This window comes from Homo sapiens, chromosome 5 (genome assembly GCF_000001405.40).
Source record: "Homo sapiens chromosome 5, GRCh38.p14 Primary Assembly".
Classification (NCBI taxonomy): Eukaryota; Metazoa; Chordata; class Mammalia; order Primates; family Hominidae; genus Homo; species Homo sapiens.
This window is the reverse complement of record NC_000005.10, coordinates 22,063,404-22,077,997: the sequence shown is the minus strand read 5'-3', so window position 1 is coordinate 22,077,997 and position 14,594 is coordinate 22,063,404. Positions and strand designations below refer to the sequence as shown.

The 14,594-nt window shown below is 38.2% G+C and overlaps 1 protein-coding gene across 9 annotated transcripts in view; it reads left to right on the top strand.

The window, feature by feature from the left end:
• CDH12 (cadherin 12) overlaps positions 1–14,594 on the top strand; it is a 1,102,672-nt gene that overhangs the window by 775,347 nt on the left and 312,731 nt on the right.

Genomic DNA, 14,594 nt, shown 5'->3' with positions numbered 1-14,594 from the left:
CAAGAATGTATTTCTTCTCCTTTCCCGTTAAAATGTGATGTGCCATTTGGATTGTGGTTCTGAAGTATTCGATTTGGCTTGCTTAAGCTTTATAAATAATTTATATATTTTCAGCAGATATTTATAAGTGTCTTTATGGCTGAAGTAATAAATTTTGGAACCCAAATATGTACACATCAACAGAGCATGCAATTTAAATATCTTATTGCAACTTTATGGAAATTTAATTTTTTTCACAAAATACTCGGTGGCAACTATCTGTTTCAGGACAGTTATGTTTTACTGCTTTTTTTTCCATTAAATTGTTTTCACCCATGTCTAGAACAGTATAACTTGTCCACCACACCAAAAAAAAATTTCCCCAAAAATAAGTATTATATTTTATTTTGATTTTGTGAATTCTTTTTAAGTTTTGTAAAAGATATTGCCATGGGTTTTGATAAAGAAAAATTGATGCTTGAGGAGAGTTTAAAATAAATCCAAAGTCATAATTGGAAAACCATCATAGGAAGAGTGTTTGGAAATGGTTATAGAAGATCATGACTCTTGAGCAGCAAATCCCTTGAGCTTTCTGAAAACATAAACTAAAGAGATATATAATAGGTTGTATGATTCCAATATTAGGTCAAAGGAGGAATATTCATTTAAGATCTGAATTATTTCTACCACACTTAAAATAAATTACATTGTGGAAATGTATTTAAAGGATATTAAATTATACAGTGGAAAAGTTCTTTAAATAGAAACTTTGTTGAAAGGGACATATAACCAGAGTTTCCACTAAGGCATATGTGGTCCCAGGCAAATGATTTTTGCAGGGCACCTATCTATGTTTAAAAATTGAGTCACCCCAAATCAAATCAGCCCATAAGTACCATTCTGGTCATCCAGTCTCAGTGATCTTACAAATACACACGCGCACACACACACACACACACACACACACACACTGCCATTAAGCAAGAACTATGAACTATCTCCTTTACAGGCTGCCTACCAGGAGTCAGGGGCTGTTCAAGTGGCACGGGGCCAACCTCATAGTGCAATCCCTAAAGATCCACAGGGCACTTATGAACCTGTAGGTTGAGTAGAATGTCAAAGTGAGCCCCAAACGATAAATGGACACTGAGACCCAAACATTTCCAGCCTAGACCAGAATGACCTTCTCAGATCACATTGCCACCCACAGATAGCCTTAGTCACATAAAAGGTCTTGGAAAATTTTGAGGAAGTCACTCCAAAATATGGAAGTCCCCGGAGGTTACTGCATAAAGCTTCTGCTTATATAATTCCTCAAATATGATTGTGGAATATAACAATCACTAACATTTCTATGGTAAGATAATTTCATGTGGTTCTCCTATACTTGTTTCTTTTGAATTAATTTAATGTAAGAATGGAATTTTGAAATCCAAGACAAATGGAAGGGGAACATAATCTAAAAGTCTGCAACATAGATATCAGTTATTTCAACTCTGTTTATGACAGAAGCTAGACATCATATTGAGGTTCCTGACAAATTCTCTGTTTTTGATTAGAGAAGATCGATAGACCTCAATTTCCAGAATTGGAGGTAATAAAGTTGAAATTAGGTTAAAAAAATAAAACTGACATTTATTAGAACCTAGATAGCAGTAGTATTTCATCTCCCCGAACAGTCCATGGGATTGTATATGCAAGTTTTTGCTTGATACTCTGAAATTCCACTTTATAATTGCGGTAACAGTGTATAATTCATCCAGTTTATTTAAAAGAGGAACTAGTATTTATAAATGTAATTAAAAAGGAGTAAGTCTAACATCTAACCTATTATTACATTTAACCAGCATTATTTCCGCTGGTACAGGGCTCCACATTGATAATGGATAATGAACACTCATGGTTCTCAAGCAATGTACATTTCTAATGCAGATGAAAGAGTGGATGCCAAGGTTTCTTTTCCATCAGGAAACTAATTAAATTTTCATTAACTCTGTCTTGATGCTTCTAGATTTGAGAATAGAAATATGATAACATGGGGACCAATTTAATCCATTATATATGTATGTATAAACATATAAATATATTTATGCTTCCACTCATTCCAGAAAGACTTTGAGATTACTCATAGAAAAGGAAAGTATTATAAATAATATAGAACTCAGAGCAAAGGAAAAGGGCTAATGCAAAAATGCCTAGGAAAAGTATCAGTTGTCTACAGTTCACCATTGGACAACTTGGGGGGTTAGGAGAACTGACTTCTCCCCAGCACAGTTGAAAATCCAAGTGAAACTTTTGACTCCCCCAAAACTTAACTACTCGTAGCCTTCTGTTGACCCAAAGCTTTACTGATAGCCTAGTCAATTAAAACATACTTACATGTTAGAATACATATAACATAAACATGTTATGTTTATATATGTATATATGTATTATAGACTATATTCTTACAATAAAGGAATCTAGAGAAAAGAAAATGTCATAAAGAAAATCAGAGGAAGTCAAATACATTTACCATTCATTAAGTGGAAGTGGGTCATCATAAAGTTTTTTTTTTATTATGCTTTAAGTTTTAGGGTACATGTGCACAACGTGCAGGTTTGTTACAGATGTATACATGTGCCATGTTGGTGTGCTGTACCCATTAACTCATCATTTAACATTAGGTATATCTCCTAATGCTATCCCTCCCCCCTCCCCCCACCCCACAACAGGCCCCAGTGTGTGATGTTCCCCCTTCAAGTGTCCGAGTGTTCTCATTGTTCAATTCCCACCTATGAGTGAGAACATGTGGTGTTTGGTTTTTTGTCCTTGCGATAGTTTGCTGAGAATGATGGTTTCCAGCTTCATCCATGTCCCTACAAAGGACATGAACTCATCCTTTTTTATGGCTGCATAGAATTCCATGGTGTATATGTGCCACATTTTCTTAATCCAGTCTATCATTGTTGGACATTTGGGTCGATTCCAAGTCTTTGCTATTGTGAATAGTGCCACAATAAACATACGTGTGCATGTCTCTTTATAGCACCATGTTTTATAATCCTTTGGGTATATACCCAGTAATGGGATGGCTGGATCAAATGGTATTTCTAGTTCTAGATCCCTGAGGAATTGCCACACTGACTTCCACAATGGTTGAACTAGTTTACAGTCCCACCAACAGTGTAAAAGTGTTCCTATTTCTCCACATCATCTCTAGCACCTGTTGTTTCCTGACTTTTTAATGATTGCCATTCTAACTGGTGTGAGATGGTATCTCATTGTGGTTTTGATTTGCATTTCTCTGATGGCCAGTGATGATGAGCATTTTTTCATGTGTCTTTTGGCTGCATAAATGTCTTCTTTTGAGAAGTGTCTGTTCATATCCTTCGCCCACTTTTTGATGGGGTTGTTGTTTTCTTGTAAGTTTGTTTGAGTTCATTGTAGATTCTGGATATTAGCCCTTTGTCAGATGAGTAGATGGCAAAAATTTTCTCCCATTCTGTAGGTTGTCTGTTCACTCTGATGGTAATTTCTTTTGCTGTGCGGAAGCTCTTTAGTTTAACTAGATCCCTTTTGTCAATTTTGTCTTTTGTTGCCATTGCTTTTGGTGTTTTAGTCATGAAGTCCTTGCCCATGCCTATGTCCTGAATTGTATTACCTAGGTTTTCTTCTAGGGTTTTTATGGTTTTAGGTCTAACATTTAAGTCTTTAATCCATCTTTAATTAACTTTTGTATAAGGTGTAAGGAAGGGATCCAGTTTCAGCTTTCTACATGTGGCTAGCCAGTTTTCCCAGCACCATTTATTAAATAGGGAATCCTTCCCCCATTTCTTGTTTTTCTCAGATTTGTCAAAGATCAGATAGTTGTAGATATGCAGCATTATTTCTGAGGGCTCTGTTCTGTTTATCCTCATCGTCTTCACATTGCATAGGCTGAGGAGGAGGAAGAAGAGAAGAAGGATGTTCTTGCTGTCTCAGAGGTGACAAAAATGGAAGAAAATCCACATAAAGTAAACCTATGCAGTTCAAACTTACATTGTTCTAAGATCAACTGTACTATCTTTAGCCTCGAATATGACTTTCTGGTTCTTGGTAGAAAGAGCGTATGTGGAAATCATTAATTTGTATAGTTCCCATTGTCAACTCCACATTTTTAGGGACCAATTGGTTTTCTTACATTCAAATCTAAAAGAATGTATTCATGTAGAAATTTGTAGAGGCAACTGAGTGACTTGGGTGACATTAGCTTCAACAACCCTTGTATTTAAAGAATCAGATGTTCATGCTGATATCCTTGCAAGAAAGCACAAACTGTGCTATTACTTGAACAAAAATGTTACTTTACTTTGTATACAAATAAATCACAAGGGTATACAGAGGTAAAGCTTTCCTCACATACACACTGTGAATTTAATACATTACCTAGATAAGTATGTTTTCATACTGTACAGTAAGAAATAAATTAACTTTATCTGCAAAAATTTGTACTTCATATGTTACCAGTTGCTCAAACTAACCACAAGCAAAACACTTGCATTATTACAGACATACATATACATGTGCACAAGTGTGCATACACACACCAACATGATTTATGCTTATACCAACATGGATAATTGCAAGCCTGTATCTGTGTGGTACTAAGTTTTTTCATAGCCTCCAAGTTAGGTATCCAGAAATGCTGCCTCTTTTATCCCCGAAGAATAATTTAGGAAATTGAGTTGTCATTTCAGATAAATCCCTGTTAGCAGCAATTCTTAAATCTAAACTGTTTAAAAGGGCAAAAAATAAAGAAGTAAAACATATATAAACCCTAGTTTCAGAGACATCCATTTATTTAACCTATTTTTGATGAAGAATGCATTACAACTGAGACAGTATTAAGCCTATAGGAATAAATGTAACTATGAAGGTCTCTAGATTACAATTATAAAAGTTAAACTTTATTGAGTGCTTCCTTTGGGCACAATTTTAATTGCTTTACAGACATATACTTACATATCTGCAAAAGAACACTATGACTGATCTTCTTATTATTGCTATTTTACATATCAGAAAACTGAGGCACAGAAAAGTTAAATGACTTCCACATATCTCAACACCCAGTGGATGCTTAAGCTAACATGTCAACCAGGTGGTCTAGCTCCATTGCACCAGAAAATATCATGGTTTATTATCCTGCCAGGCTCTTAAGTGCTAACAATCATTTCAATACTCTATTAAACTAAAGTGTTATAATAATAGGTGGGAATTGAACAATGAGAACACTTGGACACAGAAAGGGGAACATCACACACTGGGGTGGGGAGAGGGGGGAGGGATAGCATTAGGAGATATACCTAATGTAAATGACGAGTTAATGGGTGCAGCACACCAACATGGCACATGTATACATATGTAACAAACCTGCACATTGTACACATGTACCCTATAACTTAAAGTATAATAATAATAATAAAAGCCTAAACACACACACACACACACACACACACACACACACACAAAAGTGCTATAATAGAAACACTGTTGGGAAATGTCTATGACTCCGTCCAAAAGATGGAAGAATTCAAGAAAATCATCACAAATGAGGAAGTACCTGAGATGAGTCTTGAAGGATGATTTAATTTTTCTAGAAGTGGTAGTATGGGGAAAAGTTTTTGTAAGCCCTGAGGCTTGAAACTTCAAGGTGAGCCTAGGTAGCCATATTTCAGTAAAGTCAGATGGTCAGAGTGTAAAGCCAACTACTTAGAGTGAATAAATACAGAAAGTATGGAAAGGTTCAATTCTCATACCCAGATGAGTAGCATTCTTAAAAGTATAAAGACCCATAAAATGCCTCGTTTGAGGATTAATATTAATGGAATTGCAATTCTAGAATGACCGATCAGACAGCCAATTAAAAGATGCATTGAAGACGGGGAAAAAGGTGTAGAGATAGGGAGAGCATCTGCAGGAGAAAGTTACAATAGGCTTGTGTAGGAAGTACAATGAAGGAAATGGGAAATTAGAGTAGAATATTTGAAAGGTGAAGAGATAATGAAAAATTTCAAGATTCATTGATCATGGCAATGTAAAGGATGAGACAAATTAGAGAAATATTGTGAAGGCAAAATCTGCAGAAATTAGTGGGTAATTGCATACAGAGAATCAAAGAAAGGGAAGAATAAAAAATGACACAGATTTCTGACTTCTGTTTTATTAGTATCCCTTGTAGATTTGGGACTCAAGTAAGAAATGAAATAATTGGTGTTGAACATCCTATGCCCTTAGTTACTTACAAGTACACAGGTGAAGTATATCATAGATATTTACATACATTAATCTAGTGTTCAAAGAGAGTAATTGGAATACAGATGGTAGTTAAAACCATAAGTGGTTAATATACTCTAGGGAAAATTACAGATAATTTAAGAGAACCCTGATTTTTCATTTCAAAGCAGATGAAAAAAATTAGATAGATCTAATTAGTAAGAGGCAAAAGGCAAGCATTAGTGTCATGGAAGATAAACCAGGAAAAAGTTTTAAGAATAAGGAATGACAACAAATGTTGAACTCCACAGGCCAAATTAAGTAATGACTTAAAATGTTCCATTGGTTTTGGTAACTAGTGATCCAGAGGTGACTTTTGTCAAAATAGTTTTAATGGTTTTGTCTAAAGCATAAAGAAAGAAAAAAGAGATGTGTACAGCTCAGAGATGATATTTCAAAAGCATAAATGAAGGAGACTGAGGAATGCCCTGTTGATATTCTCAGTTTAATCCTACAGATATTATTCTAGTTAGGATTCTCCAGAGAAACAGAACAAACAAGACATGTATATAAATAGAAAAAAAGAAAATATTATTTATTTATTTTTAATTTTATGCAAACAATTTTATTATTATTTTTAAATTTAATTTAATTTTAAATGCCAGGATACATGTGCAGGACCTGCATGTTTGTTAACATAGGTAAACATGTGCCATGGTGGTTTGCTGCACCTATCAATCCATCACCTAGGTATTAAGGCCTGCATGCATTAGCTATTTATCCTGATGCTCTCCCTCCCCATCCACCCCTGACAGGCTGCAGTGTGTGTTGCTCCCCTCCCTTGTCCATGTATTCTCATTGTTCAGCTCCCTATTATAAATGAGAACATGTAGCGTTTGGTTGTCTGTTCATGTGTTAGTTTGCTGAGGATAAAGGCATCCACGTCCTTCCACGTCCCTGCAAAGGACATGATCTTGTTTCTTTTTATGGCTGCCCAGTGTAATTTAAAAATTCAATTCTATTCTCATCAAACTACCATTGACATTCTTCACAGAATGTGAAAAAATCTGTGCTAAAATTCATATGGAACAAAAAATTATTTTTAAGAAATTGGTTCATGCAGTTGTGTAGGTACAAGTTCAAAATCTGCAGTGGGGCCTCTAATCGGATGACCTGGGGAAGAGTGCCATTCTGAGCCTGAAGGCAGTCTGCTGGAAGAACTCCTTCTTGCTCAAGTGACATCAGTCTTTGTTTTGTTAAGATCTTCAGCTGATTAGGTGTGTCCCACCCACATAATAGAGGCTAATCTATTTTACTCAAAGTTCACAAATTTAAATATTAGTCTTATCCAAAGAACACAGAAACACCCATGATCATGATTGATCAAATATCACACCATTGTAAGTCCACCCTTTGTCAACTTGGCACCCGTCCACTTCCCCTTAAACCATGTTTAATCACCAAATAGAGATAATAACAAGGTCATACTTCTAGCAGAATATAACTGTCTTGCATGCAATGAAAATACACAAACCTTTTTTCTCAGAAAAGAATGTAAAGTCCTTGGGTTTACTCATCTTGATGTCCCGCAACTTGGTGTAAAATTAACGATTTTTAAATACCATGATATCAAGTCAATACATTTTGTGTTCCATGATAAGGGGATAGGAGAGGGAAGAAAAAAGATATTAAATATATCATATTTAAAATAAAATAAGGAAGAAGTACTTGTAATGATTATAGCCCTCATTTCCATCACTGGTCATGTATCATAGCTTGTATTTATAACTGCCTTTTTCCATTACTGATTTTGTATTACCTTTGCTGTCAGCAAGCAACTCAGCTGGTAGTGGCTCTTTACCTTGTGGGGAGACAAAACCTTAATTTCTGAAGGGTCTGATCTAGACCGTTACTAGTTCTGCCTAGATTGGTTTGTTGTAGTTTTCCATTGACTTTAATCACAGGGCAAGGTAATATAAGGGGTGCCCTAAGGAATCTCCAATATTACAGACACACTCTTCCTTGCATCCATTGTGGGGTGTCAATCCAATTTCCCATTGGCACTCAAGATGAATCACCCCAGACAGCACAGTAATTTCCTTCCTTACCTGTTGATTTAGGGGAATGAGGAACTCAGAGAGGCTGGGTGGCAGTCTCAACTTCCAGTTAAATGGAACTATTGTTTTGTGTCCTGGTGGAAACATGCCTCCTTCTGGAACTAAGACCTCTAGACCTGCATAGCATAACACCATAGGGTCAAGAAGCAAAATTTTTGCTAATATGTCACCAGGAGTAATAGTGGTATCACACTCATTTCTACCTCATAATTGCAGACCAGTCACTTCTGGCTTGAGATTTATTCCTGGCTGTGGAAGAAATAGTGCCATATATTGGATGCTGATTCAGAGCATTTTTAGTCTCCTAGAGACCCCCTTGCCCCAGCCCTGCAAGGGATTGGCACCTATCTAGCACTGTAACTGAGGCTTCACAAGGCTATTTCACCCTCCCTTCAAGCTAGCTGCTTTGGACTGGTGGGAAACATGGCAAAACCAATGAATTCCATGAGCATGGGTTCATTACTGTACTTGATTTGCTGTGAAGTGAGTGTCATGATCAGAAGCAGTGCTGTGTGGAAGATCAGGATGGTAGATAAGGCATTCTATAGGTCACAGATGGTAGTTTGGCAGAAGCATTATATGCTTGGAAGGAAAATCTGCATCCAGAGTGTTTGTTCCAGTAAGAACAAAATGCTGCTCCTTCCATGATGAAAGTGATCAAGTGTAATCAACCTGTCACCAGGTTGCTGGTTAATTTCCTTGGGGAATGGTGCCATATTGGGGATTTACTGTTGGTCTCTACTGCTGAAATGTTAGGTCTTCAGCAGTGGCTATAGCCAGGTCAGCTTTGGTGAGTGGAAGTCTGTGTGTTGTTGGTCTCATGCCAACATGGCCCCTTTATTTATGAGCACGTTGAATGATGACAGGAGTGGCTGCTGGAAGAGGCTGACAGGTATCCACAGAATGGGTTGTCCTATCCACTTGATTATTAATATCTTCCTCTGCTGATGTTACCTTTTTGTAAACATTCCCATAGGACACAAATATCTTCACATTTTTTGGCACATTCTGAGGGCTCCATCCCTATACCTTATCTCTTCCCCAGAACTCTTTGTCATTAATGTTCCAATCATGTCCCTTCCAAGTCCCTGACCATTCAGCCAACTCCTTGGCCACAGCCCATGAATTGATATATAATGTCATGTCTGCCCATTTCTAATTCTATGCAAAATGAAAAACCAGGTGCACTGCTAAAAGTTCTGTCCACTGAGAGGGTTTGCAGTCACTGCTGTCTTTCAGGAATGTCCCAGAGAGCCTATAATACTGCAGCTGTCAATTTCAGATGGTGCTTGCTTATCATGAAGAACCACCTGTGAAACAGGCTCAAGGCTTCTCTTTCTCTCTCAGCTGATAGGGAGCACGTGATGAGGCCATAGGTACAGGCTTGGAAAGAGAAGAGAGTGTGGCAGGAATGGGGGCATTTGGGTCTCTTCTTCATGTCAGTTACTTGTGCATCAAGGGCCTGCTGAGGCCTCATCTTGTATATGCCACTTTCATTTGATGATGGGGTAGTGCTGTGCTCACCTAACTTTATGGCTTGCTGGGTCAAGTAGCACATGGTTCATGATAAGCAGCTCAGATCACATAGGAAGTTGGTGTGCCATGATTAAGTGTTCAGTTCTCACTAAGGTCTGGTAGCAGGTTTTTGCTGTTTCTTTTTTCTTTTTCTATGTATTTATTTATTTATTTTGAGACAGAGTCTCACTCTGTCACCCAGGCTGGAGTGCAGTGGTGCGATCTCTGCTCACTGCAACCTCTGCCTCCCGGGTTCAAGCGATTCTTCTGCCTCAGCCTCCTGAGTAGCTGGGACTACAGGCACACACCACCACACTGGGCTAATTTTGTATTTTTAGTAGAAATGGGCTTTCTCCATGTTGGTCAGGCTCCATTGTTTCTAAAAAGGAGAGTATCTTTTGAAGGATACTTCATATCTTATGAAGACATCCACAGAGGAGGCAAGGCTTTGTCCCCAAATCCTAAGGGCCTGTGCTGTAATTCATCAAATGAGACCAACCAAAGATGCCACACAGCATCCCTATCTATTACTGACACTACTATTACTGCCCCCCACTGGACCTGCTGGATCGTATAGCCTAAACAGCAGAACAGTCTACGTAGCAGACTGCATCTATCTCAGAGCCTTCTTTTCATTCTGTCCCCCACTCAAAACTAGCAGCATTTCACATCACTCAGTCAATGGGCCAGAGTAATGTACCTAAATGCAAATTACTTTACCTCCAAAATCCCAAAGGATCTACTAAGTGTTGTGTCTCTTTTCTGAGGTTGTAGGAGGGACCACATGCAACAACTTATGCTTCACCTTTTCGGGGATATCTCAATATGTCCGGTAGTACTAGGCTCCCACAAATTTCAACGAGGTAGATGGCAATACATTTTTGTCAGATTTATATCCCATACCCTTTGTAAATAAATGTTTTACCAAGTACATATAGAGTAGTTGCTGCTTCCTGCTCAATAGATCCAAGCAGCATGTTTCCATGTAATGGACCTGTGTGATGTCTTGTAAAAGAAAAGGTAATCAAGATCCCTGTGAAATGAATTATGGCATAGGACTAAAGAGTTAATATACCCCTGAGGTAGAGCAATGAAGTTGTATTGCTGATCTTGCCAGCCAGAAGCAAACTGCTAATGGTGGTCTTTACCAACATTAATGGAGAAAATTTATGTGCTATTATCAAAAGCTTCATACCAGGTACCAGGGGATGTGCTGATTCTCTCAAGCAATGAAGCCACATCTGGCAAAACAGTTGCAGTTGGAGTCACCACCTGACTAAGCTTATGATAATCCACTGTCATGCCCAAGATCCATCTGTGTTAGTTACAGACCAAATAGGAGAGTAGAATAAGGATGAGTTGGGAATCAACACCCTGCATATTTCATCTTTGGTGATGGCACTAATCTCAGCAGTTTCTCCAAGAATGTCATGTTGCTTGGCTTTATTATTGTTCTGTCTAGAGGGAGTTCTAGTGGTATCCCCTTGGACTTTCCCTCAATTACAGTCCTCACTTCCACGTCAGGGAACCAGTGTGGGGAATCTTCCAGCTGCTGAGTATACAAATTACATTCTAGAACTTTGGAAGTAATCACAGAATGGGTTGAGGAGCCACTGGCTCCACTGAGATGGACCCAAGCTGAACTTCATTGGTCCGCTGACCTCCACAAGTCTTTATGCTAACTGGCAGGCCCAGTGACAATTTGGGTCTCAGAATTTATGTTAGTTCAGAGCTAATGTCCAGTAGTCCCCCAAAGGTCTGAATATTTTCTTTTCCCCAAAGTACAGTCACCCTGATAAAAAGTGATAGGTCCCTTTGGGGATAGAGGAAAAGATGGGAAGGGGGTAAGGAATAAAAGACTAAAAATTGGGTTCAGTGTATAGTGCTGGGGTAATGAGTGCACCAAAATCTCACAAATCACCGCTAAAGAACTTACTCATATCACCAACTACCACCTGTTCCCCCAAAAACCTATGGAAATAAAAAATTAAAAAAAATTAGAAACATTAATAGTATAAATTTTATAAGCATATTGGAATCCTTCCCCAAGAGATCTCAGCCTTACCTTCATTCAAGGGATTTTGGGTCTATAAACTGGTGCAAGTCTGGAAACTGATTGAGGGGCAAGGACTCTCTGTTTTTATGATTCAGGTTAGACTTTGTGTACCTGACCTAGAACCTTTCTGTTTGTACAGATCAAATAATAATTTAATAGGCTTCCTACCTATTTCATTCCTAGGAACAGGATGACCCCCTAGCCAATACCAGAAGTCTCCACAAGTCATAGCATTCTGATTGCTCTTTTGACTATGGTTTATTGGTAAACATGCCAACCTTACTTTGGCCATTGATCGCTACAACAAGGCCCCTGTCACCCAGGATCCAGTGATTCCTATTGCATTTACATTTCCCAATTCAGCAGCAACAATTCCTACTGTAAGTTCTGACCTAGAGAGCTGAGTGATCACTGGGATGCTGGGGCTCTCCTCACTAACTGATTTCTGTCTGTGGTGGTGAAAGGTGTGTCCTCTAGACCCTCCCAGTGTGGATAAATAGATATTAAATAAGAAACCCATTCTAGCGTTACCAATGTCCCTAGGCCTTTGAGTTTTGTCTTCCATTGTTAGTGACCAAAGTTGTGACATTTCACATTCATTTACTGTGGGCAAACTTTGGCTCCATGTTTCAGCCAAACAAACAAAACACAAGTTATTTCTCACTCCCCGTGCTGCAATATTAAATGCAGAGTCTCTGCTTATTGAGCCCTACCAATAAATTCCGCCAATCTAACTTTGTGTTTCTTCTGCCATTATTTCATACCCTATATATCTATTCCCACATGTACTCCCCAGATTTCTGTCTGGGTAAATTAGAAAACTCAAGTAGTTCTTTTGGTATTTAATGCATCACCTCATGGGTCACACTTGCACCTCAACTTCAGGGCCATGCAAAGACTTGGGTCTAGTTACACAACTAGAATCAAAGAGAGCAGTGAGGTGGGTCCTGGGAAGACTCAGCAGTCTTGCAAGGTAACAGCATCAGGCGAGGCCATTATAGTTTCCCTGGGCAATGCAGGGTTAATCTCCCAAGATGGAGTTAAGAAGACTTATCAGAAATTATGAGCTTAGTGTCTCCAGCTTCATCAAGGTCTTCCCAAACATGCTCATTCCAGCTTTCCAAGTGCCATTTCTTTACAATTACTTTGCTCACTTTAACAGCAGACACATAGGCTAGGAACTCAATTTTTCTTGTATTTCAGCCACTCACAAGATGAAAGTCTAGGGTTTTTTCCCAACAATCTCACGTCTGTCAATACAAGACATAAGGGTCTTTTTCAGGGCAGACAGAGAAACTGACAGGTGACTTACGTGGTACTTGAGCTGGGAATTCAAATCCCTGAGCTCATCCTTTTGTTTCTTCACTTTTTTCAGTAATGTTAGAGGCAGCCAGCCCATTTTATACATTAAATGATTATTTATCATCATTAGTTTGACAAAAATGTTCAAAAATATTATGTTATGAGCTTCAGATGCTTCGCTCTTGCAAGACTTTGGTTAGGAGAATCCAGTAGTGATATTCTACATATCTCTGTTGCCCCGTCACACCAAGGACTATTGGTGCTGTCTTTACTACTGGAAAGAGAGTCAATAGTGTATTTAAAGCTAGTCATATTAAAGAGCCACTTCCAGAAATCCCAAAACCAGTAAAGAAAACTTATTCTTAAGATTCTGTTCCTCTAGAACCACTCTTGCTACCAAATTTACATTAGTCAAAATACTCCAGAAAAACAGAATATGTGTGTATTTATCCATATCTAAAGAGACATAGATACATAGTCCTCCCTCAGTATCCACAGGGAATTGGTTCTAGTATCCCCAGAGATACCACAATCCATGCATTCGCAAGTCATGCAGTGGGCCCTGTGGAACCTACAGGTACAAAAAGTCAATCTTCCAGATATGTGTGTTTCACGTACCATGAACAGTATATTTCTGATCCACATTTGGTTGCAGATGTATCACCCACCAATACAGAAGGATGACTGTATTTATTGAACATTTCCACATATAAGTGGACCCCTGAACTTCAAACTTGTGTTGCTCAATGGTCAACTGTGTGTGTGTGTGTGTTTGTGTGTGTGTGTGTGTGTGTGTGTGTGTGTGTATCTCCATAATTGCATGAGTCAGTTTCTGATATATGAGAGAGATTTTAAGAAACTGACTCATGTAATCGTGAAGGAGCATGTCCGATCTGCAGTGTAAGCCATCAGGCTGGAAACTCAGAGAGAGTTCCAAACCCCAAAGGCAGTACGCTGGCAGAATACCTTCTTGCTTGGAAGAAGTATGTCTGTTTTATTAGGGTTTCCAACTAATTGAATGAAGCCCATCTAATCTGTTTTACTCAAAGTCCGCCAATTTAAATGTTAATCTCATTAAAAAAAAACACCTTCACAGAATCATCTAGATTAATATTTGACCAAATATCTAGTACCCTGGACCAGCAAAACTGACACATAAAATTAACTCTAACAGGAATACTAGGCCCAGTAAGATGTAAAAGAGAAGGTAATCAGTTAGTCTGTTAAAAGAAAGAAGTACTGGTTTACTATTAAGACTCAAAGGAAGTAATGTTTTAAAAGATATTAAAGGGGTAGAACCAATCAGCAATGTGCAATTTTTCTCACCAGCAAGAAACCCAAGGAAAGGATAAAAAGGGATAGATGATCAAATTGATTCATTATTGTGTATT